Source organism: Homo sapiens, chromosome 1 (genome assembly GCF_000001405.40).
Source record: "Homo sapiens chromosome 1, GRCh38.p14 Primary Assembly".
Taxonomy (NCBI): Eukaryota; Metazoa; Chordata; class Mammalia; order Primates; family Hominidae; genus Homo; species Homo sapiens.
In genome coordinates, this window is record NC_000001.11 from 119,325,973 (window position 1) to 119,353,676 (window position 27,704).

General features: G+C 43.1%; 1 long non-coding RNA gene and 1 pseudogene across 1 annotated transcript in view, besides 7 other annotated features; one reads left to right on the top strand and one right to left on the bottom strand.

The window, feature by feature from the left end:
- Positions 1–863: an enhancer, noted in NCBI's record as "OCT4-NANOG-H3K27ac hESC enhancer chr1:119868596-119869458 (GRCh37/hg19 assembly coordinates)". NCBI's record gives its function as "activates a minimal SCP1, AML or CMV promoter by ChIP-STARR-seq in naive H9 embryonic stem cells {active_cell/tissue: H9 hESC(naive)}" and the evidence as "EXISTENCE:reporter gene assay evidence [ECO:0000049][PMID:30033119]".
- Positions 864–1,724: an enhancer, noted in NCBI's record as "NANOG-H3K27ac-H3K4me1 hESC enhancer chr1:119869459-119870319 (GRCh37/hg19 assembly coordinates)". NCBI's record gives its function as "activates a minimal SCP1, AML or CMV promoter by ChIP-STARR-seq in naive and primed H9 embryonic stem cells {active_cell/tissue: H9 hESC(naive and primed)}" and the evidence as "EXISTENCE:reporter gene assay evidence [ECO:0000049][PMID:30033119]".
- Positions 1,725–2,586: an enhancer, noted in NCBI's record as "H3K27ac-H3K4me1 hESC enhancer chr1:119870320-119871181 (GRCh37/hg19 assembly coordinates)". NCBI's record gives its function as "activates a minimal SCP1, AML or CMV promoter by ChIP-STARR-seq in primed H9 embryonic stem cells {active_cell/tissue: H9 hESC(primed)}" and the evidence as "EXISTENCE:reporter gene assay evidence [ECO:0000049][PMID:30033119]".
- Positions 1,862–1,941: an enhancer, noted in NCBI's record as "active region_1592". NCBI's record gives its function as "activates an Ori minimal core promoter by ATAC-STARR-seq in GM12878 lymphoblastoid cells {active_cell/tissue: GM12878}" and the evidence as "EXISTENCE:reporter gene assay evidence [ECO:0000049][PMID:35858748]".
- Positions 2,280–27,704, top strand: part of LINC01780 (long intergenic non-protein coding RNA 1780) — a 27,931-nt gene continuing 2,506 nt past the window's right edge. The window contains exons 1-2 of the long non-coding RNA NR_146623.1: positions 2,280–2,315; positions 2,772–2,817. This is a non-coding gene — a long non-coding RNA (long intergenic non-protein coding RNA 1780). The remainder of the gene's footprint in view (positions 2,316–2,771; positions 2,818–27,704) is intronic.
- On the bottom strand, positions 5,425–5,553 carry RNU1-75P (RNA, U1 small nuclear 75, pseudogene; annotated as a pseudogene).
- Positions 14,896–15,698: an enhancer, noted in NCBI's record as "NANOG-H3K27ac hESC enhancer chr1:119883491-119884293 (GRCh37/hg19 assembly coordinates)". NCBI's record gives its function as "activates a minimal SCP1, AML or CMV promoter by ChIP-STARR-seq in primed H9 embryonic stem cells {active_cell/tissue: H9 hESC(primed)}" and the evidence as "EXISTENCE:reporter gene assay evidence [ECO:0000049][PMID:30033119]".
- Positions 15,699–16,500: an enhancer, noted in NCBI's record as "H3K27ac hESC enhancer chr1:119884294-119885095 (GRCh37/hg19 assembly coordinates)". NCBI's record gives its function as "activates a minimal SCP1, AML or CMV promoter by ChIP-STARR-seq in primed H9 embryonic stem cells {active_cell/tissue: H9 hESC(primed)}" and the evidence as "EXISTENCE:reporter gene assay evidence [ECO:0000049][PMID:30033119]".
- Positions 22,003–22,242: an enhancer, noted in NCBI's record as "active region_1593". NCBI's record gives its function as "activates an Ori minimal core promoter by ATAC-STARR-seq in GM12878 lymphoblastoid cells {active_cell/tissue: GM12878}" and the evidence as "EXISTENCE:reporter gene assay evidence [ECO:0000049][PMID:35858748]".

The following is a 27,704-nucleotide window of genomic DNA, read 5'->3' on the forward strand; positions in this document are numbered from 1 at the left end:
AAGGCCATGGCAATATCCAGAAGCTGCACTATATGGTCTAAAAGGAAGAGAAAACTTTAGTTCCAGGAATTCCCCACCCCTTTCCCGGAAAATTCATGAATAATCCATCCCTAATTTAGCATATAGCCGTTCTTGGGGCTGCTCTGCCTATGGAGTAGCCATTCTTTTGTTTCTTCTCTAATAAACTTGCTTTCACTTTACTCTGTAGACTCTCCCAGAATTCTTTCTTGTGTGAGATCCAAGAACCCTCTCTTGGGGTCTGGATGGGGACCCCTTTCCAGTAACACCTGTACATGTTGGTGTGGCTGCGGAATGGGAAAAGGCCACTGAGTTCCAGTCCCAGGTGCACGGCTGACCATGTGATCAAGAGCCCTTCCCTTGTTATCTTTGAAGACTCAGGTTCTCAGTGTGAGACATGGGGTCTCCTATTCAATGACCTGTAGTGTTTCTCATGCAGATGTGACCAGGACATAGAAAGAGGCCCCCTGAATGGCTCCAAAGAAAGGCACTCATCAAAAGCAGAGCCAGACCTCGCCGACCTATGATGCTCAGGAGCCTCATGGTAAATGGCAGCATGAGGTCAGGCCTTCCTGGCAGAGTGGGAGCCGTGCAGCCGTAGCGCCCAGTGCCCAAGCTGCACTATTGGCTCAGGGCAAGCAGCTGAAAGCTAGAATGGCCTTAGTCCCAAATCAACATTTCATAGATCAGGAAAATAATTAAAATGCAACTATCTCCTTTCCATGATTTTACTATATGAAATGCAGTGCTGAGCACTTGCTACATATGCCGCATTTAATTCCCACACCAATTCTGCGAACTAGAGACTTGTATTCCAATTTAGACATGGGGAAATTGAAAGTGAAGCTATAAGTAAATGTACTAAATCCAAAAGGTGAACGTGGCAGAGGTGGGATTTAAACCAAGGTCCATCGGATTCCACAGATACTATACTGCTATCTGGAAGACACTAAGGACTGAAAAGGGACTTACCCAAGAGGGCCCTTCTGCCTAGAAGGACTGGCACCTAAGTCCCCCGTCGTGTTTCAACTACTTGGTCATCCATGGCGATTCAAGATGGGGCAGTGTGGGTTGAAACCCCCCACCCCACCTTGTGTTGTGGGGAGGTCACCCAAACGTCCTTTGTAGCTTTCAATCCTCCCAAAGTAGCTGCAAAGAGGACGTGATGTGAATATTAAAAGCCCGAGGCTGGAGGACTTGCCTCCCCAACTCCAGTGCGGAGCCACAGAACTTCAAAGCGAAAGGAAGCACAAGCAGTAGGGGGAGGAGGTGTAAATTTCCCCCGCGGTCCCTTGGAACTGTGAACATTTGCAGATTCCCCAAGCCCTCCCGCTAGCTCCCTGCCAGGTGTCCGAGGCCCGACCGCGCCCCGCCCCCACCGCGCCCCCCTCCCCGCACCCCGCCCCTCCTGCTCCCGGCTTTCATGTGGATCAAGGCTGGAGGATGACAAGCTCCTGACTGATAGATACATGGAGACTTCGCTGGTGATTTATTGGCTTTCTGCACCTGACGAGAACCACTAGGCCTATCTGAGGAGGGAAATATATGGGCTTTCCTGACTCCAAGTGGCAGCCCCGGGGCGAGCATGTGATGTCAAGCTGGGCAGAGGAAAGCGGAGCTGTGCACCGGCCTGTGTACTGTAAGCCGGCCCGGGTCGTAAAAGTGTCAGCACGCGATATATTTCTTGCAGGGGATCCTCTCTGGCTCTTGCCAGCGCCTCTCCCCCGTGGCTGGCAGCCGCCCTAGCCGGGCCTGCAAACAGCGGATGCCCCAGGTCGCTATCCCTCCGCCCTGCCCCGGAGCGCCGGGCCCTCACGTTCTCGCTCCAGCCTGGGGTCTCTCACGTGGCATCTGGCCCTGGGGACGGTGCAGCGGAGGAGTTAATTGCTGTCACTCCTGACTTCAGCGAAAGAGGTCGATCGTGGGGTGAGATATTGAAGCTGGGGATTGACCTGTGGACCAAGAGTTTGATGGGGCAACTCAATAGCAAACTCAATGTTCCCAGAGATGAACCAAGTAATCAGTTATTTATTCAGAAAATTAAGTGCCATTCGTGTGCCAGGCACTGCGCCCCCTACCCGCAGGCCTCACCTTGGCCACCGGCCTGAGTTGTTCTCATTTCTCCTCCCTCTACCTCCAGGCTTCTTCCTCGGGGTTAGCAGGGGCCTGGAGTGGATGTTTAGTCTACCGGTCAGACTCCAGGTCTTATATCTTGAAACTGTAAGTCCCTGAATTCACAGACAATTCAGAGTAAGGATGGAGGCAAAGAAGAGGACCTTGGGTTTACTGTTCACGAGGTAGGTGGGGAAGGGCTTGAAAAACAGAGATATAAACTGCATTTGTACCCCATGTCAATGGGAGTTTTAAGATTTTGACCAATTTGATGAATTGGAGCTCATCTGTCACTAATTGTTCTGTCTTCAATTAAAGTGCAAGCTTATTCTTGGGCCCGCAATATTTGAAATATGTGCTTGTTACTCTGTCCTAAAACTCCATTCTGTCATCATCTTTGGAAATGGGCTAACTCTACATTTTGTATGCAAAAATTTTGTAAATATTCCAAATTGGGATATTGATAGGCTTTTTAAATTAGAAGATACATTTAATTAAATTAGGATTAATTAAATTATGAGCCAAATTAGGAGATAAATTTAATTTAAAGCATCGATATGCTCTTGTCTCTCATCTTCCCTCTTTTTTCATCTCCTGACCTGGTCTTGGAAAAAACATTTGCTGATTAAATGTCCTGCTAGATGACCTCATAAAGGTGTTCAGTGATGAAGAGGAGTGGCTGAAGAGGTAAGGAGAACACTCAAAGCAACAACAGCAAAACGTACAGTATGAAGGGGGTAGTCATAAGGTCAGTCCATAACCCTGCCAGCATCATCCAGATAGAAGTGGATCTGCTATCCCTCCCCACACCTGACTTCACTACCTGCACACCCACAAGCAGGGCAGCACTAGCCCCCAGTGCTCTTCTGTGCATATTAGAGTCTTCCCTGGAGGGCTCAGTACCTTGCTGGGACTCATGGCATGGGGAGCAGAACCCAGGCTGAATTTCAGTCCCTACAAGGTTTTAAGTACAGGGATCAGCCTGCACAACCGAATGGGAGGCCCGGCCCTCATCTGCCCTTCTGTAACTTGTCTTTCCCTGCCAGGCCTCCCTCGGAGCTCATTGTTGAAATCTGGCATCCAGAGCTATGGATTCCCCGCTCTGCCATTTACAAACTGTATGATTAGGGCTCATCAGTTCATCTCTCTGAGTTACTTTCTTTTCTGAAATGGAGGTAGGGCTACTTCTCTCACATGGCTTTATGAGGGTGAAGTGGTTTCCAATGAGCACTCATCTGGATATTCTAGGCCCATCCACTCACATAGCTAATGACACTCCTTCTTTACAAGATGAAGGATTAGGAGATGATTTTAAATCTTTTAGCTGGAAGGGCCTTTAAGAGATACCTGTGTCTGTCTTGGGCCTTAGAGTGAGTAAAGGGACAGCAGGTGGTCAGGCCCTGCCAACAGCAGGATATTTTCTGCAGGTGCCCAACAGCAGCCCTGGAGTTGCCTCAGATCCTCCCACTGGAGGCTTCATTGCTGTATCTGCCATTCCATCCCTGGCAGGGATAGGCCAAGGTCTTAGATACCCTGGCACCCAACACTCCATACAGGCTTGTCTCTGAGCAGACTCTCGGTGAAGGCTATTGTGCTAGTCTGAGCAGAACGGGAGGTGCAGGGATTGCAGCTGTTCCTTCACTGCAGTGTCAGTTTGGAAATTTTCCCAGAAGACTTAGCTGGTGCCTCTTCTTTGATATTCATGAGTGTGTGAACACAACGACCCTCCTCATCTTTGTCGAACCCATTCCTCTTGGACCACACCAAGTATAGTCCAAAAAGAAGGTGATTTAGGAGAAGTGTGAAGGCACCCTCAGTTCTGGCAAATTCTTGGGTATCCTGCAATTCTCACTCAGCAGCATCCCAACAAAACCAGAGAAAAGACCCGGGGCCGGGAGATGAGCCAGGAAAATAGCTTCATGTTTGACTTGAGGGTACAGGCATCTGCAGAAGCCAGCCTGGAAGACTCTTCATGAGCCCAGCTGCAAGGGGCATCCTAGAGCCAGTTCATGAGCCCAACTTTACAGAGGCATCAAGCTTCCCCTCCCCTAGAAAGGAAGGCTATAGAGCAAGCAGAATGTTTAAGACACAGGCTTTCAAGTGAGGCTGACTTGGATTAGCGGAACTAAGGATGACGTGGCCCTGTGCAAGGAACTTAATATCTCTGGGCTTCATTCTTTATCTGTTTACCTACCCCCAGGTCCTGAAAGTACCACAGAAATATCTGTTTTTATTCAGAGGATAATAAAACAGAATATTTACATATTGCTTCATATTCCCCCAGGATATTTTTAGATTACCACAATATCCTAAGAGTTTGTTTATGCATGCTTTATAGACCTGTATCTGTGGTTAAAAAAGATACATAAATACTTTAAAATTTTATAATACAAGAGTATAAGTTACCTGATTTTTTATGTGTTCCGCAGATGGCTGTCTAGAGTCAACACAAACCTACCCCAAAGTTTGACCTTTGCCTTAAGTCAGTAACTGAGGAGGGCCACGGTCCTGAGTTCAGTCCAGACCCCAGGAAGATTCAGAGCCTGCAGTTGTCCTCTGGTTTCTAAAGTATGTTATTGGGCTAAAGATTTCAAGACATTTATCCTTCTTTGCTTTCTATCGCAGCCATTAAATGTTTTAGATATTTTCTGCCAGAAGGCAGGAATCATGAAGATAACAAATATTAAAGACAAAACCAAATAACTTTTAATGAGAAGGTCAGTCCGTGGTTTGAGTCTTTGGAAAGAAATCAAGAACTCTGACTATACTTGCTATTTGACCATTGATTCTCTAGTGGAAATGGGCAAATCTTTTATACCAGGGCAAATTTTTCAGTAACGGGCCAGACAGCAAATATTTTAGGAATTGTGGGCCATACAGTCTCTCTCCCAACTACTTAACTCTTCAGCATAGCATAAAAGCAGCCATAAACAATACTACAACAAGTATGGCTGCATTCCAATAAAACTTTATTTACAAAAATAGGCAGCACGCCAGATTTGGCCCACAAGCTATAGCTTTCTGACCCCTGCTTTGCCAAACTCAATAACAAACAGAGAGGGAGACTCTTTTAAAAAAATTATATTCATTTGGGAGTAGCATTGCAATGGGAATACGTGTGCCATAGCAAATTATGAGCGTATTCAAAGAGATTGGGGCAAGGGGAAGTTTATAAAGGCAAAACGAAGAGGATTACAATTGTTCAAATCAATTATCCTTGGCTACAAGGGTGGCACAAGTCCAAGCTTGAACAGGCAGTTGCTAGACAGACATCCTTACAGAAGTATTTTCTGTGTAAGGTTGCAGTGGTCTTTTTGCAAAGCTATAGTAAATCACAGGGGTCAGTACAACCGTAGTGCAATGGATAAGCCTTGCCCTCGGAAAATCTTCGTGATCATGGTATCTCCCCTGCCAAATAAATATTGTGACAGTTCTTATCAGGCATTCATGTGTAAGAACTCTCCCTTGATGGCCTTCCCTGGCTCCATTTGCCAGGGTTTTAACATAAATTACTCCATTTTGATTCGGACAACTTTCATAACTGCTTACCATCTGTGCCTCTGTGTATAAAAGTGGACATACTAAAATTTTTCCTTAGGGCTACAACTAAACATCCAGCCTAGCCCTTAGCCAGCACCAAGGAAGAGGCCTGGGGGATAGAGGAACAAATAATGAGACCAAGTCAGGCCATCCCCCATGGGGTGAGGCCTGCAGGTAGGTGGGCCCAGTGTGGTGTACCTCTAGCACAGTGCCTGGCACAAAATTGCAGTTTATTTTCTGAATAAATAACTCTTGGATCAATTGGTTGCTCTCTGGGAATGTGACTTTGCTGTTGAGTTGTGCAGAGTACTCTCTGTCTCCAAGCCAATCCCAGCTTCAGTATCTCACCCCACAATCCACATTTCCCAGTGTCTGGAGTAACAACAATGACCTGGGGCTGGGCTCTCAGCAAGTCAAACCCTGCCTCAACAAACCCAAACTGCTTTGGGGACCAATGTGATGCAAATGTGTACTGAATCCCCTGAATTCCCCCTGGTGATCCTGTCCTGTAACAGGCCCTCCCCATCCCCTCAGGCCAGTGCATTCAGGAAATCAGTGACCACAGGATGGTTTCTCAGCTGGAGGGAAGGTCAGCCTGCATCTGAGCATCTTAGAACATGTTATTTTGTTCCCACTGGTCAATCCCGTCCAAGCTGTACACATAGTGCCTAAGCCACGTTTGTTACTGCAGGCCTGTCTTCGGAAAGGTCACTGAACAGAAGGAGGAGGCACCTTACTCTCTTTTGTTACGTCTTCACCACTTTTGTCTAAAGGGAAGTTTAGCTGGAGGGCTGAGCACGCAGACAGGTTTCTGACTGTGCCACATAGATCCCACATTGCTTCTCTGCCATGATTTATCATCTGTGACTTGACATGTTCTGCACACACGGGCATGTTGTACACATTGAGACATGCTTCCTGCATTCAAAGATTTTCCCATATTGAGGGCATTTTCCTGGTGCAGAATTGAAGACTGAATTGAGGCATTCAGATTGACCTCAACATCTACGGGTCTGGAGGAGGTTTGGGACGTTTCCTTTTCTTCTCTTCAGGGGCCCACTCCTGTTGTAAAGAGCAGCAGCATTTATAATGAGGGCCCAGGAAATGCGGGGGAGAGGGGAGAGCCTGCTATCTCTGCAGTGGGTGACTGTTGTTTCCCTGATCAACAATGTATCATATCCCAGCCTAAGCCTGCCTTTCTCCTTCCCCCTCCACATGGGGAGGGGCCGTGGGCTCAGAGCTCACCTGGAATGCCTCTGGTTGCTGAAGGGCTGGATGGAGACTCTGAGACAACCTGATGGATCATCTCATAAACAGAGCCTGCAGGAAGGAAAAGAAAATTATGCCAGCATAATGCACTTACGAGAAATAGATACGTGCGGTGCAGGGAGAAATGCTTTGATATTAAAATTTTTGTAACTTAAAAAGGCATGAAAAATGATACCGACCACTAACTAATCAACATTCCTTTGCGAATACAGCTTCAGTTCCTAACCAAAAACACATCCCTGCTATTGTCTTGTCTGGATCCAGATGCAAACATGATTAATTAAGTTTCTGGTGAGGAGTGGGACGAGGGCAGTGGGAACTGATGGCTTGCTGAGGATCCTTTTCATATACAGGCCTGGGGAGAATCCCTTAGTCTGGGTGCCTATTTCCCTCCACATGTCAGGGCTTACCCCGTGCACTGACAGCCACGGGGGCAGTGAGTAGGCTGCAGCCAGACCCATGGAGTGAGGCAGTGAGAGGCTGAAAGGAGAGGCTCTACAGACAGTACAGGGAGGCTCTTGGTATCTCCCATTGCCACTGCACAGCACAGCACGGCAGAGTAGCAAACGCATATGCCATGTCTTGTTGGGAGACCTGGGCCCTGCTCCAGACTGCTACCAAGTAGTTTGGGACCTTGGATGAGCTGCCTCAATTTCTCCATTTGTGAAATTGGGAGGTGACAGCGTGCTGGCAGCCCTCGCAGCCCTCGCTCTCGGCCTTGGTGCCTGCCTACTCTGGCCGCCCTTGAGGAGCCCTTCGGCCCACGGCTGCACTGTGGGAGCCCCTTTCTGGGCTGGCCAAGGCTGGAGCCAGCTCCCTCAGCTTGCCGGGAGGTGTGGAGGGAGAAGCGCGGGCAGGAACCAGGGCTGCTCATGGGGCTTGCCGGCCAGCGCGAGTTCTGGGTGGGCATGGGCTCAGTGCCTGCGCACTCTGAGCGGCCGGCAGGCCTGCGAACCCCGGGCAGTGAGGGGCTTAGCTCCTGGGCCAGCAGCTGCTGTGCTCAATTTCTCGCCGGGCCTTAGCTGCCTCCCCGCGGGGCAGGGCTCGGGACCTGCAGCCCACCATGCCTGAGCCTCCTCCCGCCGTGGGCTCCTGTGTGGCTGGAGCCTCCCCGAGGAGCACCGCCCCCTGCTCCACCGCTCCCAGTCCCTCAACCACCCAAGGGCTGAGGAGTGCGGGCGCATGGCACGGGACTGGCAGGCAGCTCCACCTGCGGCACCGGTACCGGATCCACTGGGTGAAGCCAGCTGGGCTCCTGAGTCTGGTGGGGACTTGGAGAACCTTGGTGTAGACACTCTGTATCTAGCTAATCTAGTGGGGATGTGGAGAACTTTTGTGTCTAGCTAAGGGATTGTAAATACACCAGTCGGCACTCTGTATCTAGCTCAAGGTTTGTAAACACACCAATCAGCACCCTGTGTCTAGCTCAGGGTTTGTGAATGCACCAATGGACACTCTGTATCTGGCTACTCTGATGGGGACTAGGAGAACCTTTGTGTCTAGCTCAGGGATTGTAAACGCACCAATCAGCACCCTGTCAAAACGGACCATTCAGCTCTCTGTAAAACAGACCAATCGGCTCTCTGTAAAATGGACCAATCAGCAGGATGTGGGTGGGGCCAGATAAGAGAATAAAAGCAGGCTGCCCCAGCCAGCAGGCACAACCCTCTCGCCTCACCTGCCGCAGTGTGGAAGTTTTGTTCTTTGGCTCTTTGCAAAAAATGTTGCTGCTGTTCACTCATTGGGTCTACACTACCTTTATGAGCTGTAACACTCACTGGGAAGGTCTGCAGCTTCACTCCTGAAGCCAGCGAGACCACGAACCCACCGGGAGGAACAAACAATTCCAGACGCGCCGCCTTAAGAGCTGTAGCAGTCACGGCCGGGCACGGTGGCTCACGCCTGTAATCCCAGCACTTTGGGAGGCCGAGACGGGCGGATCACGAGGTCAGGAGATCGAGACCATCCTGGCTAACACGGTGAAACCCCGTCTCTACTAAAAATACAAAAAAAATTAGCTGGGCATGGTGGCGCACGCCTGTAGTCCCAGCTACACGGGAGGCTGAGGCAGGAGAATGGCGTGAACCCGGGAGGCGGAGCTTGCAGTGAGTCGAGATCGCGCCACTGCACTTCAGCCTGGGCGACAGAGCGAAACTCCGTCTCAAAAAAAAAAAAAAAAAAGAGCTGTAGCAGTCACAGCAAAGGTATGCAGCTTCACTCCTGAGTCAGCGAGACCAGGAACCCACCACAAGGAAGAAACTCCGAACACATCCGAACATCAGAAGGAACAAATTCTGGACACGCTGCCTTTAAGAACTGTAACACTCAGCGCGAGGGTCCCCTGCTTCATTCTTGAAGTCAGTGAGACCAAGAACCCACCAATTCCAGACACAAAAGGAGAGGTTGGATTAAATGTTCCTCAAAGTCTTCCATTTCTGGCTTTTTATTCCAGTGCCCAAAGTCCTTCACACAAAGCAGGTGTCTTATCAGTTGATTGGTCAGGCATGGCCACTATTTTTGGCCGTGGGCAAAGGAGTCTGGTGGGGACGGGGCTGAGAAGTATGCTAGGTGAGTGTCTCTGGCACAAATGGCTGAGCTGCAGAGCCCCAAGCGGCATGGCAGGGACCAGGAGACCCGATTCCTGATCTGCCGCAGTTAACCTGGTGACTATGAGTGAGACACACAACTGCTCTCCATCTCAGTGTCCCCATTAGGAAACAGAAACACCAGGCCCAACCTACCCAAGTGTGTCAGGAAACTGAGAACTGCTCTGGTCTCATGCTGGGACGGTGGCACAGTACACCAAGTGGTATCTTCTCCCAAAGTCTGCTCCTGTGGTAGGAGTCATAGGTCATTGAAGTACACTATAATTGAGTGGTTAAGGTGGTGAGATCCAAAGTCAGGCTGCCTGCATTCAGATCATCCAGCATCCTAACCATTAGGCAAGTTACAGAACTCCTTTGGGCCTTGACTTTATCTGTAAAATGGGAATAATAATCACAGAGCATACCTCATGGGATTATTATGAAGATTAAACACGTTAAAAACTTAAAAATGCTTCTAATTATGCCTGGCACGTTCAGCAGGTATTACATAGGTGTTAGTTTTGTTACTGCCAACCTCTCTCAAGCTTTGGGTGCCCACCAAATGTCCCTTTAGTGTGCACAGACTTGTGTCTTCTTCCAGGAGAGGGTAAGGAAAGCTGCCCAAACTTTCAGCTGCATGGAACAAGTACCTTCATTCATTCATTTCCAGGACAGAGATCTCCGAGTGCCCACAAGGTACCAAGCCCTATGCTTTGGAGGGTCAACGTGACTTTCCACCTTGGCTACCACCTGCATCCACCAGGAGAGCACACAGTGGGTGCCTTCCCTGCATGGTGAACAGGAGCAGCCTTGTGTATGAGTGAAAGAGTTTTATAAGGCCAGCTGGACCCCAGGGTGGTGCCGTGCCAGGTATAACGCCAGAAGCTTCCCATCATACTTTAAGACTCTAGTGAGGGGATTTGAGCCAGAGCCAAGACTAGGATTTAGTGAGCTATTTGATTGGAGGTTTCGCTGCCTCCATCTAAAGCCAATTGATTCCACTAGTGGTTTACCCTTTCTCAACATCAGCTGTGACTGGCTGATTTTTTAAGATTACTATCCACACCCTCTCAAACATTAGAACAATGAATTTCCCAGTTCAAGTTCTATATTTTCTCAATTCCAGAGGAAAGAAAATGACTACTACATGTGTGTGATTTTGTCCCTGGGAGCATCTATGAAATATGCAGCATTCTCTTTCTAGCTGGGAAATCACTTTAAAAATACTATCTCTAATTCATCTTCATGTTTTCGACAGGGAGTTTGTTATTCCCGTTTCCCAGATGGAGTAACTGAGAGCAGAGTCAGGAGACAGCTTGCTCAAGGACCTAGAACAACAGAATGATTTGGTGGTGGGGCCAAGATTGAGTTCTTATTTCCTGCCTCTCAATCCATTGCAACCCAGGAATGACCTTTCTGGGCAATGTTAGAAACATGACCATATGAAATGGAGAATTTAGATTACAATTCCCTGGACCATATCCAGGACACTAAAATGAGTGTGTTGCACTTGTGAAATGCATTCTAAGAATTGTTTACTGTTCTGAATGTAAGTTAGGATGAAGCAGATCTTCTACGGAGGCTCCAGGCTAATCCCAGCTTCCCTCCCCACCCAAGCCCCGTGGACAATGACTTGCAATCCATGTCAACAAAGATTTAACCCTTACAGTGTGCAGGGGACTGCTGGGCTGGATGTTTATAAACAAACCAAGATAAGACGGAACCTCCCTTGAAAGAACGGCATGAGGATGAATACAAAAATGAAATGTCAGGCCCCAGCCTGTACATAAACAGCCTTGTATATGTGAGTGGCATGTCCCATGCTCCAGCTGACCTATCAGGAAGCCTAGGGACAGTAGCAATACTTTTAGCAGCTGTGGCAGGCCTCCTCTCTGCATTCTAGAGTGGCTCCCACTCCCCTCCAATTTCAAATGACTCCTTATTTCAGGCTGCTTCTCTTGCCCTGGGACTTGGCCTTGTTGTTTGCGCTTTGGTTTTCCCTGCATTTTGTTCTCAAGGCCTCGGGTTTGGACTCACCCCCCTCCCAACTCCACCATTCTTCTAAGCCAAAACTGATCTGAGGTCCCCTTTTAAAAAATTTGACACAATTTAACAGACATGTGTTGAGTGTCCAAGAGATACAAATACACTATAATTTGCATATCACTCAATAACAAGAATGATACTGTTTTCAAGGAATTTATAATTTAATAGGATGAGAAAAGAACTCATTAGGTTTCTTTCAAAAAAAAATGGAGGAAAAATACCTCTTGGCCACATGCATATTTGAACAAAGGCAGAAGCTTGCCCAAATTCTTTCTAGAAATAACTGTGTTGGTTGAAGGTGGGTGGAAAAGAGGATAAAGGCATGGTAAACATGGGATGTATTTCAGTTCCATGGTGGACTGAATGAAAACGTTTACAGATGTTGATACATGTTTGCTTGCTTTTTCAATTACAGTGAAGCAAAGTTCTATCAACAGATGTTGCCCAGGGCCAATGCAGACAGAACCAACCATAGAGAAAGAGAGCATTAAGATTATTGTATTAGTCAGTTTGGGCTGCCACAAAAAATACTAGCCTAGGTGGCTTAAACAATATAAATTTATTTTCTCACAGTGTTGGAAGCTGGAAGTCCAAGATCAAAGTGTCAGCATGGTTGGTTTCTGGTGAGGGTGTCTTCCTGGCTTGTAGACAGCACCAACATGCTGCAACCTCACATCGCAGGGAGAGAGACAGCACAAGAGAGAGCAAACACTGGTGTCTCTTCTCATAAGGGCACCAGTCCCATCATGAAGGCCCCACTCTCAGGACTTCATGTAACACTAATTACCTCCCAGAGGCTCCACTTCCAAAAACCATCATATCGTGGGCTAGGACTTTAGCATGTGAATTTTGGGTGGACAAAATTCAGTCCATGGCAGACATATAAATGATTTTGTCAAATTTCAAGTCAAAGCTAAATTTTCTCTAAGATTATACTGCTTAGCATGGAATTAAATGAAATAATATATCTGAAATGCTCAGAAAAGTGTCAAGTCCATAATACAGACTACATCAAGATTTGCTAATGTTTTTGAAATCCTATTTGAGGTAACTTTAAACACCAGAAATCTATAGAACTATTCTTGTTAATTACTTATTTATGTTGGTATCATTATCACCTTAGTATTCTTACCAAAATATCTGGGAGGACAGTTAACTTTTCACTTCCCATTTTATATGTGCAGCCTTCAGTAGTAAGATAATTAAGTTGTATGGGAGATTTAGAAAAACTGTACTTGCAATTTTAATGGGCTTTACTTAATTTTTTAACAGCATTGAAAGAAAGGTATTATTGTGACCCTTGCCCTAATTTAAAATGAGAAAACCTGGGCTCAAAGGGATTAAATGTTCAAGGTCACCTAGCAATGTAGCAATGAAGAGGCAGTGTCTGTACTCCACCCAGGTCATCTCCCACCACGGTCAATGCTCTTCTTCATCCGTAGATGCCTTTTTAGAAAATAAAACCCCTCCTCTTGAGGATCACTGGACAGTGCGCTACCTACTGGAACAAAGACCAACCAGTTGCTTCAGCAGTGATAGCAAACTAGGTATGGACTAATATGTAGTATTAATGAACACATTCCCCACACATATTTTCACACACATTATTCATCTGTGCCCTGAATAGCTGCCCATAATCCAGATACTGCAGAAACAGGGAGCAGGAACACCAAATTCCTTGACTTCAGAAGGCATTATCCAGAAATAAGACAGAAAACATCTGAATAGAGCTATGAGCCAGCAGCATTCATTTTTTCCTGCCCTCCCTTCATCTGCATCCTCCTCCGCTACCAAGCCCAATAGATAACACTCTCTAAGCTGGGTAGAGAGAAGAGAGTTGAAGAGGAAATATGAGGATCTGATGCAGTGTAGAAGTTGTGTATTTTTCCAATCTTTCCTCTCATGGTCAGATGACAGATGCAGATGTGTCTGGTGGGAATACACAAAGAAACCCCTTTTAAATTTTGGGATTTGAGAATGGAGAGGACTGTGTCTTGCTCCCTGCATGAAATCCAGAAAGATGCAAGCCTGACCTGTTGTTATAGATCAACAGTGGGGAGGAAATGGTGTCCTGACATAATGAAGCCAGAGGCCACCCTGTGTTTCCTATACCCTTGAAGGGGTGTGAATGGCCATATGAAAACACCCAAGACCTTGAGTGAGACACAAAAGCTATCTGGTTTGGGGCAAGCCTATGGGGTCTTGGGGCCAGCACAAGGGAACATCGTATCAGAAAAATGCAGCCCAGCGAGGACAGGACTGCTTAGATTCTAGGAGAACACAGCTGCATATTGGAGGGTTGCTGGTAAATGGGAGGGTAACTTGGGTGGATACAGGACAGGGTACATCTGAAGCACTAGGTTAACAAAGCACCAAGACAAACTGAGGCTGAGAAGAAGGTGTCAAGCCTACCTCCTCCCCTGTCACCCAACGCTATGTTGGTCAAGTGTGAGAAGAGCCAGACATTAGTGGCTGAAGGTCCTCTTCCTATTAAAACGAAGACCAACCAAGGATAAGGAGAAAGTGGGAGAAGAAACTCTTGACTGTAACTTGGTTATATTAAATAATAATTGCCCATAATGACTGGGAAAATGGTGAATTTACTGGGTTTACCCTGAACCCTAAAGTACAATGTTAATAATTATTTTTGGTCTGGGCATGGTGGCTTATGCCTGTAATCTCAGCACTTTGGGAGGCCAAGGTGGGAGGATCACTTGAGGTCAGGAGTTAGAGACCAGCCTGGCCAATATGGTGAAACCTTGTCTCTACCAAAAAAATATAGAAAAATTAGCCAGGTTTGGTGGCATGCCCCTGTAATCTCAGCTGCTTGGAAGGCAGAGGGAAAAGAATGCCTTGAGCCTGGGGAGTGGAGGTTGCAATGAGCCAAGGTTGCACCACTGCACTCCAAACTGGGCAACAGGGCAAGACTCTGTCTCAAATAATAATAATAACAAACAATTACATTAACTTTTCTCTTTCAATGTAATGAGTATTCAAGATAGAGGGTAAGGCCAAAAACAAGAAGAGTAAAGAAAGGTACTTTTTTTGCCTACCTTTATCTGTGTTTTGTGAATGACTAGTTGCTATATTAGCTATTGTTTTATGCCAAGTACTTTATACATATCATGTCATCTAATCATAATAAATTTATGAGGTATTCATTACTGTCCCCACTATGTGAAATGGAAGAGACTCAGTTATCTACCCCTGGTCAGTTTTAATCATCAACAAAGCCAAGATTTGTATCTGCATCTATATGAATCCAAAACATACATTCCTGGGATTGGAGGGGAGAGATTTTCCAATACACCATTTGTACCTTTGTCTTTTAAGCCACTTCCTACTTGGCCCTTTAGAAATGCAAATATAGTCTTTTTCCTCCCCTTCACCAGACACTCCCTATAAGGCAAGTTTATCTATGTGCTTAGATACTCCAGAAAGGAACTGTTACCCACCAGGAGAAAGCCTCAAGAGAAAACAGTTGATTTACAACCCAAAGTCCCACTACAAAAACTCTCTCCCACCTGGGGAGTTTTTGGCCTAGTCCTGCCCACAAAGGCACCAGCAGTCACCAGTTCTACAGCTCAGTAGATAAAGCACCAGAGCTAGCACTTGGATGCCCTCCTACCTGCTGACTTCCTCCCCTGTGTGCCTTCCCCTTTAAAAGTACCTGGTTTCTGCCCCACAAGAAAAGTGGTACCCTTAGGCAGGAAGCCTGTACTTTTTCCCCTAAACTGGCTTTGGATTAAATCACTTTCTTTATACCAGACCTCAGTCTTGTTAATTGGACTCTGCAAGCCACATCTACATATCCTCTCTACACAAAAGCATATTGATATTCCCAAAGCACTGAATTCCTTTCCCCTCCTTCTTTACAGGTGTGCATAAAAGCACTAACTCCTGATAAATAGACTTCAGCTTTCAAAGCTGTCCTTTCCTTTAGTAGAGATGAGCAGGTAGGGTAGGCTAAGAGGGCTTCACAGGCCCTGGAGAGCAAACAAGACTATTGAACTTGTTGGGGCAAGCCCTTTAAAAGGTCTGTAAGACCAGCAGTTCTTTCTTTACTCATTAAACATGTTTGCCCATTACCTATGTGACTTCAGACTTTGGACAGTGTGAGAATGTGGAAGAGATATGCTGGCTGACCTCACATGTTTGGGGAAGGGGGAGCACTGTACCCAGCAGAATATCTCTTGTTCTCAAATCATCCTCCTCTAAACACATAGCCAACTGTAACTGCACAATGCGTTCACCTTGCCTGCTACCTAGACAGAACCGATTTATCAAGACAGGGGAATTGCAATGGAGAAAGAGTAATTCATGCAGAGCCGGCTATGTGGGAGACCAGAGTTTTATTATTACTCAAATCAGTCTCGCCGAGCATTTGGGGATCAGAGTTTTTAAAGAATTTTGTAGGTAGGGGCTTGGAAAGTGGGGACTGCTGGTTGGTCAGGATGGAGATGGAATCATAGTGGGTTGAAGTTAGGTTTTCTTAATGTCTTCTATTCCTGGGTGTAATGGCAGAACTAGTTGGGCCAGATAACAGGCCTGGGAGGTGTCAGCTGATTCATCGAGTGCAGGGTCTGCAAAATATCTCAAGTGTTGAATTTAGGTTTTACAATAGTGATGTTACCCCCAGGAGCAATTTGGGGAGGTTCAGACTCTTGGAGCCAGAGGCTGCATGAGCCCTAAATTGTAATTTCCAATCTTGTAGCTAATTTGTTAGTCCTGCAACGGCAGACTGGGCCTCAGACAAGAAGGGGGTCTTTTCGGGAAAGGGCTGTTATCAATTTTGTTTCAGAGTCAAACCGTGAATTGAAATCCTTCCCAAAGTTAGTTCCACCTATGCCCAGGAATGAATGACAGCTTAAGGGTTGGAAGCAAGATAGAGTCAGTCAGGTCTGATTTCTTTCACTGTTATAATTTCCTCAGTTATAATTTTGCAAAGGCAGTTTCAAAACCAGCACCACTGTTTTCCTATCATCAGATTGCCCATAGTGCTATAAGAAAAAGGGATTCCTCACCTGAACAAGAGACAAAAATCAAAAAATCATTGCCCTGATTGGATGCAGCCTTGGGGGTTACATTTTCATTTCATACCTAATCTTTGGAAATGAGAGAGAAAGGGTAATTCCAAAACTGATTTTGGGGAGGGAGAGAAACAATGATACTTCAAATCCCCCTCATTCACAATATCGACAATTTTCCAAGTAGGAATAGTGAACCCAGAAAATCTGAGAGAGGTCTCAGTTAATTTAGAAAGTTTATTTGCCAAAGTTGAGGATGCACCTGTGACATAGCCTTAGGAAGTCCTGACAACACATGCCCAGGGTGGCCGGGGCACAGATTGGTTTTATACATTTTAGGGAAACATGAGACATCAATCAATAAATGTAAGAAGTACATTCATTCCATTCAGAAAAGTAGAGACAACTCAAAGCAAGCCCCCTTTACCCTATGGGCTTCCAGGTCACAGGTAGGTGAGAGACAGATGGTTGCATTCTTTTGAGTTTCTGGTAAGTCTTTCCAAAGAAGGCAATCAGAATATGCATCTATCTCTGAGCAGAGAAATGACTTTGAATAGAATGAGAGACAGATTTGTACTGAGAGTTCCCAGCTTGAAGGGGCTGAAGACATTTTCCTTTCACATTTCCCCTCTTTTCTATTTAAAAATCTTTTGGAGAAAGCATTTTAGAAGAAAATGAGTCTCTGGCCTCAGATTTCATCTGATCTCTCAAGGCTAGGACTGTTTATTCCTAAATGGGTAGGTCCCAAAAGCTTATTTTTAGCAGGCTGTGAAGTCTCATGTCCTATGAAGAGAAAATTGGGGGAAGAAGGGAGAAAAACAACAATAAACAAAAGAACAATCCTGGAAAAATGTATATCAGCCACATTACTCTGAAGTCCATACATTAGTAGGCAGGTATGCAAGTGGCTTATGTATGCAAATAGGTTGCTGTTATTTTCTTCTGAAGTTTAAGTTGTCTGGCTTCAGTTCACAGGGTTTTAAGAAAGCAAAACTTAGTTTTCAGTGATTCCAAATTAGGAAAACTTGAAAAAAAAGAAGGAAAAATAATTGAAAACATTATTTTGAAGACTTGTAGCCAAGAAAAATTAGAATTCAGTTCAAACTGTAGAAAATAATAAAACTTGAAAAAAAACATTAGGCAAGACCACAATCTAACAACAGGGGTACTATAGTTTTGAAACATAATTTTTCTCTCTCCAACTTCCCATTTGTACTGAAGACAAATTATGGCAGAACAGGTTTGCTTTATTATACTTGGCCTAATTATTTGCATATAATGTGGCAATTATATATATATGTGTGTGTGTATGTATATGTATGTGTATATATATATATATATATATATATATATATATATATATAAAACATAGGCTTTTAAATTGGCTTTGATGAAACTTGTTCATAAGAAGAATCTCAGATGAGACTTTTTAAAGCCAAACCAGGCATGGATTTTGTCATCAAATATCTATGAATTGGGTGAATTTCCTCTCCTCTTGAGGTTTCAAGATAAACCTGGGGCTTCTGGGCCTGTCGGAAGGTGACATTCATTACTTACCACAAGTCAGAAACCCTGTACGGGGACTGTTTACACAAAATATGAGGCCAGTTTTTCCAAGGGCTTTATTGGATCCATAAGTCAAGTTTGATTCCTTAAAAAAAAGCACAACATTCCAGTCAAAGCCTTGGTGAAATAACGTTTCTCCAGTTGTTTCCTGTTACAAATGAAAACAGATTCTTATTGCACTTATGCAAATAACTGTATTGCCATAAGTTAAAAATACTCACAAATAGTTTCCACAGTCTGAAGAAATCAGGTAGAGAGAAACAAATATGCTCCAAATTTTGTTCATAGGAGTATACTGAGTTGTTAGAAGCTGTCAATAGCATAAAATAAAGGTATTAAGACTCTGAAAAACAAAACAAAGGATCAGCAAACGTTTTAAGCAAAAAAGTCAAAAAGATTAGTTCAGTCCATGTAGTATATTCCTGTTCTTCTTGATATTCATGAACATTTTAGCTGTCCATGAGTCCTGAAAGTTTTTCCTCTATTTTGATACACAGTCTCCAAAGTTATCAGAAACCCGCATTCAAGAGCACCTGTTAGAGTTTTATAGCTGATTATAGAACCACCTTATTTATTTATTTTTTTTTTGAGACAGAGTCTCTCTCTGTCACCCAGGCTGGAGTGCAGTGGCATGATCTCTGCTCACTGCAAGCTCCGCCTCCCAGGTTCACACCATTCTCCTGCCTCAGCCTCCCAAGTAGCTGGGACTACAGGTGCTATAAAACCACCTTCTAAATAGGACCAAAACAACAATTGTCCATGGATGACAAAAACTTTTAGGGCAGCCACAGTCAAAGACACAATTGACAAGGAAATTTGTTACCTCTGTAGCACACAATAATTTTAACATAACAATTATGATTATTACTGATAATGTACACTAAGTTATATCAGAATTATAGGAGTTTCCTATAATTTTGGAACTATTAACAGTAACTATTTGTACAAATATAGCCCAAAGGGAACCAAATACCATTTCATATTTGACAATGCTTCCTGTGTAATTTTTGTACCAAATAAGCCAAATTATGTGGTATTTTTTGGACTTTAGGGAACCTAATATCTTAAAGAATTAATTAGGTCATAAAAAGACATAATTTATAATTTGATTTTGGACAGTTTGTCAAACATCAAAGGTTTTAAACATTTGATATCATAAAATAGGGTCACAGGTCATAGTAAAATAAGTCATTCATTTAACCAAAGTGCTAACTCAAAGATTTAAAAAAAAACACAGACAAAAGTCTTTATTCTTTGAGAGAGAAGGCTTAATTTTCCAAACAATAAGCCCTAATAAAAACAGTATGAAGCCAATTAATTTTTTCAAAATTTTATAAATAATCTGTAAAATTTTAATCTTGACTGTAAGATATAGCTTCCATAAGCCTTTTATAACCTTTATAACCTTTATATAGTTGTTGGTTAATGCTTCAAGAAACCCTTGTTAATCTGACACAGGGGTCCATGTGTTGGTCTTGCAGAAGTATGCCTTTAACATTAATGATTAACTTATAGAGAAACAGAACTTATTTAATCTTTCAAAATCAACCCTTACAATCTTATGTGTCCACCTCTCCCTCAATAGTGCCTGGGCCTTGAGGAGTTGAATAGCTTTAATTTATTGCCCCATGTGTCAGGAATGCATTTTATTTTGATTGGCATCTTCTATTGGGCCTGAAGATGAGGCTTTAATTGCTGTCAGTGTTTAAGATTTAGCAGGACTTGGTGTCCTTTTTAGACCCAGGAGTCAAAACCCTGTAACTCAATATCACAGGGGCTTTAAAAGTACGTACAGGAAGATACATGGATGTAATAACCTTAATTTAAAAAAAAGTTGTCTCATTTTCTTTTCCTAAGCAAACCAAAACTTAATGACAATATGACAGCTGGATCATATTAAAGTTTTTTTTTAAATATAAAGACTCTTATTATGACTTATGCAGACCTTTCATGAAATGCTTGGACTTTCCGGTTTGTCCTGGACATCTCTCTTTCTTAAACAACCAGTTATTTAATTATTTTATTTTAAAACTGCATTTACCATACAAGATTCTTTCTCATATAAAATTATTTCTCTTTAAGTTTTCTTATCACAAAACGAACCTCTTTCTTGTTATGACTTTCTTTACATCTCTTTTTATTTTCTGGTTCTTTTTATTTTGTTTTATATACAACCTTTAAGCTTTGAATTAGACAAAACTTATTCAACATTCTCTTAAAAAAGGACACCCCCTTTTTTTTTTTTAGCAAGAATGTTTTCCTACAATATATGTTTATTGGAAAATACCCCAAAAAAAAGTATCTATTATTTAATTTAATATAACTTTATATTCTAAATTATGACCAGTTTGTCTACAGGTGTTTATCCCATTACATTTACCTAATTATTTTGTTTTAATTTTTTACCTAGATTATTTATGAAAATTGTGATAGTCATGATTTAAAGTGATAAAACCACCATTTCAAAATTATAACAAAGACAGTGAAAAAAAGATTTGACCTAATTGACTACATCTTGCTGTTAACCTCCAAGCTATCCTTGTTCATTTGTAGGCACAGGCCAAATTAAATTTAGGAGGAAGTTAGTTTATACTTTAGCTTTGAAACAAACAGTCCTTACCCAAAACAAACATCCTTATTGCCTGTGGACTAGACTGCCTAAAGCCACAAGATTAGAATTCATAGTAATCTTACTAAATTTAAGATGCAGCTATTTTCATTAAACCAATATCAATGTCTTATTTATTAAAAATTACAAAAGCAAAGATCATTCTGTTTGGGGCTGGGTTTATAGTTTTGTAACCCCTGTGCCAAATTTTGACACCTTGTAGTATTTGGCAGGGATGAGAATGAAATTGCTTGACTAATAAATGCAAATAAAAAATGTATGCTGGCAATTCTTAAGACATTTTTCATATTACTTTACCAGTAATTTTAAAGCCAGCTTATTTATTAAAGATTTTACTTAAGTCACATAAACTTGAAAAAGTATTTGACTAGTCTTTGCTTTTTTAGTATCTGATTTAGGCACTTTTATTTTTTTTAAGCCAATTAATTAGAGCTCTTTTTTTTTTTAGTAGTGAAACATTGTGTACACACACATAAATACAGAGACATATTAGGCATGCCGATAAAAGTACATTTTATAGATTCATAAAAACTTTTTTTTTTCCTATCTTAGAATTTCAGATTCTTGATAACCTGTTTTACCACCCTGGGCGGTTGTCAGCTAAATAGCCTAAATTTGCATATTAAAGGAAGCTGTTCATGTGAAAGTCAAATAGCAAAATTTACATGGTAAGATGCAGAGAGAAAAAGTTTGGATTATATAATTTATAAAGGCCTTTTAAATATATACATACACACGTACACACACACACACGAAGTTCCTACAGCTTTTACTTCAGAACTTTTAGCCATGAGATAAATACAAATTTACCAGCTTGCAAAAAGAACTTCTTGGGTCTAAACAGTGGTTTTTATCTTAATGGAAATATAACAGCAGATTTAGAGCAGGCAGAAAAGAAAAAACAGAGAAAAATAGGACTTAGGAACTCCATAGTTTGCAGGTCGACCTTAGGGCTCTTTTTTCTTAATGTAAATGTGCACAAAGACCATATTATTTCCATTTTACATAAACTTTGGCTAGTAGAGGTGCCATAAAACCTATGGAGTGCTCAAAAGGGGGTCATTCTCCTTGTTTTCTCCTCATTCTTAGATTGTTTCCTGCCTTTTTTTTTTAAAAAAAAAGGAGGAACTGAGCTATGGTCTAGGGTTTTTGTGTGGTGGATCAATATGTGCTGCTTGTGGGCAGGACCCCACAGTGTGTCACCACTGAGTTATTTCCACCCTTTTACATGTCTCAGTTTCTCTCTCCAAAGGTCTATGACCTCATAGAGGGCTCAAAACGCTGGGTGATCAGCCCTTATATGCATTTCCTGGATGAGCCATTTTTAAAATTAATTTTTGTGGGGATTTCCCTGCAGGGCTACTTCACATCATGGAGGAGTCAACTCCCATGAGGCCTTGGTCACCCAGGGACACCCTTTGACTGGGAGGAGCAAAATGCCCTTTCCTTCAGAGCTGAGAAAGCTCAGTCTCTCATTAACATATGAAAACAACAGTTCAGTTCCTCATGCAAATGCACACAGACAAACCAAATTAAGATTAAATTAGGGAGAAAAAGCAATAGTGAAGACCCTTTAGAATGCCTCTCCACACTACAATTAGGATCCTTAAACAACAACTTTAGACAGGAACAAACAACAACAAAAACCCCAACAATATGATCACTGAGCCCTCTAATGGTAAGGAGAAATTAAGACCAGCTTGTTGTTAACCTTAATTTTAACCAAGACAAGCTCCAATTCAGTTACTTACCTAGAGATGGGTCTCAGGCTGAAGACTGCTCTCTAGCATCCTAGAAGAAGGGAAAAAAACAAAACAAAAACACTCATCTTCCTTGTTGGAAGCCAGCTCAAACTCCATAAAGGAGTTACCTGCCTTCCATCATCATGGAAGCAGGAAAAACTTGCCTTCCTTGTGTTGGAAGCAAGTAAAACTCCAAAAAACAAAGAGGAGTTGTACAGCAAAATAAACTTTAGATCTCAACCAAATTTTGGGAGATCAGGGATTCTCTGGAGGGGGTGCACTCAGACCTCAGCAGATTGTCCTATTGGTTTGAGCCATAAAGTTAGTTTGTGCTGGTACCAAGCACTGACAGGAGATTTGTGAAAGGTCAGGGGCATCTCCACTCAGAATCCCCCATGGTTACCAAAATGTGAACCCAGAAAATCTGAGACAGGTCTCAGTTAATTTAGAAAGTTTATTTTGCCAAGACTGAGGATGTGCCAGTTCCTCATACAGCTTCAGGAAGTCCTGATGACATGTGCCCAAGGTGATCGGGGCACAGCTTGGTTTTATACATTTTAGGGCAACATGACACATCAACCAACATATGTAAGAAGTACATTAGTTCCATCCAGCAAGGCCCTCCCCCGTCCAACCTTGGGGGCTTACGGGTCACAGGTAGGTAAGAGACAAATGATTGCATCTTTTGATTTCCTAATAAGTCTTTCCAAAGGAGGCAATCAGAATATGCATCTATCTCTGTGAGCAGAGGGGCGACTTTGAATAGAGTGGGAGACAGTAGTGCCCTGAGTAGTGCCCAGCTTGAAGGGGCCCAAGATATTTTCCTTTCACCAAATCTTGACACTGTCTTCAATATCTATAACTATAAACTTTGGAAAATCAGAAAGAAAAAGGAGAATGAAAGGAAAAAGAGGAGAGTGGCAGCGATAGATGAGGGGGATTCATTTGTGAGTGGTTTTCATTTGTACATGAAATTGTCTGTATCACTAACTCAGGGTGCATATTTAACTATCTCTCTATTAAATTTTCCATTTAACCCTGATAAAAGAAAAACCTCAGCTGAATTAAATTTAAAGGAGTTTAATTGAGAAATGAATGATTCCCAAATCAGTCAGCCTCCTGAGTCAGAATAGGCTTTAAGACTCCAGCACAGCACATGGTGGAAGAAGATTTATGGACAGAAAAAAAGGAAGGTGACATATGGAAAATAGAAATGAGGCACAAAAAGCTGGATTGGTTATAGCTCAGCGTTTGCCTTATTTGAACACAGTTCAAATAGTTGGCCACATTTCATTGGCCAAAACTCAGTGACTGGCACAAGTGTAGGCTACGGTCTGTTTACACCTTCACTTATGAGAGTTCATAATGTATAGAGAAACCTTTAGGTTGAACTTAAAATATGTAAGGAGGCAGCTTTAGGCTAAACTTATTTGAACAACTCATAGCTTATGCATGTATTATCAGGAAATCGAGAATCTTATTTTTGAATTCTTCTCTCCCGCCTCTCAATCATACCCTCAGATTGTCCAAGAGTTCCAAGAACTTACTACACATTATCTTCTAGTGAAAGAATTGAACATTTTCCAGATCCACTAATCACTGTAGGCCCACAGAAGTTGACAGCTACCCTTGGCTTCTGATGTTAAGATGGCCTTGCTTAGGTCACTGTAGTTCTCCATGCAATGATTACAACCCTTTTAAGCTCACATTTCCTTACTCGGCCATCATTCTCCAGAGCACTGTTAAAGCAAAGTAAATATGGCCTGAGAAGGACTCTGTACTTCTATATTTCAGTCCTTGTGGATGAACTGTAACCTAGCTTAATAGGCAGACAAGATTGAAAACTTAGGAGTGTGCACCTGTAATAATAGCTGAGTCTTGACCACTCCCAGTGGCCATACTTCAACCACTCCTACACTGCTAAGTGTTCAAACTGTGCTCAAGTAAGGCAAATGCCAACCTGTAATGAATCCAGCTGTGCCTGTACCTCACTTCTGATTTCTATACATCACTTTCCTTTTTTGTCTATAAATTTGTTCTGACCGTGGGGCATCCCTGTAGTCTCTCTGAATCTGCTGTGATTCTGGGGGCTGCCAAATTCACGAATTGTTCATTGCTCAATTAAACTCCATTAAATGTAATTCAGCTGAAGTTTTTCCTTTAACAGCACAAACATTGGTGCCTAGGTGCTTGTGTCTGGAGGACCTCTCACTATGAACCTTATTATGTGTGCCCAAAACTACCCTCCTCTACTCTGACAGATTGCATCTTTAGTCAGTTCTCCATCCCTCCTTATATCCATGTCCTTTGCCACATAACTTTGAAGTTTCTCTACTAAAGGGGCAGAGTGGCTAGTTGTGGTGGCTCATGCCTATAATCCCAACACTTCGAGAGGCTAAGGCGAAAGGATTGCTTGAGCCCAAGAGTTTAAGACCAGACTGGGCAACATAGTGAGACCTCATCTCTACAGAAAATACAAAAATTAGCCAGACATGGTGGCATGCACCTGTAATCCCAGCTACTCAGGAGGCTGAGGTGGGAAGATCAATTGAGCCTAGGAGGTCAAGGCTGCAGTTAGCTGTAACCATCCACTGCACTCCAGCCTGGGCAATAGAGTGAGACCCTGTCTCAAAACAAGGATAGCAGGGAGGGGCAGAATATATTTTCCCACTCTTAAATTTGGATTTGGCCATGTGACTTGCCTTGGCCAATAGAAAAAGTTGAAAATAGTGTGTTAGTTCTATGGCTGAGCCTTAAGAAGCCTCATGTATATTTGACTGCAGAACTCAGCTGAGCCACTGCAGTGAAGGACAGCCTAGATCGACTGAGCTCCAGCAAACCCGCACACATTTGAATGAGCCTATTGGAAATCATCAGAGCCTTGCTGCTGAGCCTAGCAAATATCAGCCAACCCTTAGTCACCTACAAGACTCCTTAGCAAAATAGTGTTTATTGGTTTTGCCACTGATATTTTGTGGTTGTTTGTTTTACAGCATTAGTGTGGTCACTGTTAATTGGTCCATGGACTATCACTCTGTGTTGAGCCCAGGCCATCATGATTCCCCCTTTCCTCAATATAATTTAGTTTTCAGGGAGTTTATTGGTCTTCCCTATCCCTGGCCTTGGTTAGGGGCTCCCCTAGCCTACCTCCTATGGATCATTATAACTTTGGTCCTTGGAACACAGGACTGAGATCTCAGCTCCTGTTTTCCCAGAAGCCCTCTTGATCGTTTTGCAAAAACGTCGTAGCCCCTTGCCAGAGCTTCCCTTCCCAAGGAGATAGGCAAGTTTGTGAAGGCTCAAATATCAGAAAGTCTATTTATATCCTTCTTCCAGAAATGATAATCTGATCAGCCAATTCTTATGTAACTCACAGGTATTTTTCAGGCTATGCCTTTATAGAGCCTTGAAAGCTTCTCTGTCTAGAAAAAAGTCTCCAACAATACACTGTATTATATACATGTGTCATGGTGTGGCACTCTACTACACATACAATAGTCCCCCCTTATTCGCAGTCCACTGTTTCAGCTACCTGTGGTCAACTACAGTCTGAAAATAGTAAATGGAAAATTTCAGAAATGAACAATTCCTAAGTTTTAGATTGCATGTCATTCTAACTAATGTGATTAAATCTCATGCCACCCAGTCCATCCTGCCCATGATGTGAATCATGCCTTTGTTCAGCATATCCATTCTGTACATGCTACCCACCTGTTAGTCACTTAGCAGCTGTCTCAGTTACCAGATGGAAAAACATAGTATATATAGGGTTTGGTACTATCTGCAGTTTTAGGCATCCACTGGGAGGTCTTAATATGTATGCTCCACAGATAAAGGGAAACTGCTGTATAATTGTAGGGTAGTGATTTTATGAACTTGTTTTACATTTAAGAAAAATGAAGCAGAGAAATGTTATATGTCTCCCCAAAATTCAAACACCTAAGGAAAGACAGAACTAGGATCAGAACTAAAATTTTCAAGTTCTCCATTCAGTTTGCTTGATTCTTAAACCATGTTAGGGTCTAAGGAATCCCAATAAATAGCTCTCCTCTTTGCCTGTGTTCTGTACAAATTGAAAAAGGACTGGCAAACGGAAAACCAAAATATCCTTTGTTTCTGGTAGAGGCCAGGTTGGAGGATGTGGCAATCTGTTAGCCAAGTTGGCCTGCCTGTACTGAACCCCAATAAAGAAAAACCCTCCCCTAGAAGAGCAAACTAAAACGCTTTCTCTCTGTGAGCAACTCACTCCCAATAGGAAGGAACATGGAGCCGAGCATGCCCAGATGTAACAGTCAGGTAAGATAATCCATTCACCCTGGAAGGGTGAGCAATGGAGAGGAGGAGGACAGGAGTAACGCTCAATGAGCTCCCTTTAACAAAAGGAAACATCATAAGTTGAGTAAAAATATTCTTACAATATGCCAAATTTATTTAATGTCAATCTAAGTGAGGCCTCGTTTGAAAAGTCCACATCTCACCCATCCAACTTCCATTAAGCCAGATAGATATGCCTTCTGGCCCTCTGTTAGCAAAGACAATAGCAATTTTTCAAGCCTTAAACTCTGAAGTACTGTGAAGTAGAGTGGAATGGAGTGTATACTAAACCATCCTGAAATCACACCACCATATTCAACTATTAGTTCTGCCTCTGTATAAAATTGACCTGACTGACCCTGACAAAAGAAAAACCTCTCTGTGTTTTGTCAATTTGTCAACTAATAAGAAACTACCTCAATTATAATATAGTTGTCATTTCTCATTCCATTCCCACCTTCAGATGTAGTATTCTTTTTTTTTTTTTTTTTTTTTTTTTAAGACGGAGTCTCTCTCTGTTGCCCAGGCTGGAGTGCAGTGGTGCGAACTTAGCTCACTGCAACCTCCGCCACCTGGGTTCAAGCAATTTTCCTGCCTCAGCCTCCAGAGTAGCTAGGATTACAGATGCGTGCCACCATGCCCAGCTACTTTTTGTATTTTCAGTAGAGACAGGGTTTCTCCATGTTGGCCAGGTTGGTCTCAAACTCCTGACCTCAGGTGATCTGCCCACCTCTGCCTCCCAAAGTGCTGGGATTACAGGCTCAAGCTACCACACCTGGCTGATAGTAGTATTCTTTTAAGCCCAAACAAATTTATCCTCTAGAAAAATTATCTGTTAGAAGAATCTGGATTTTAA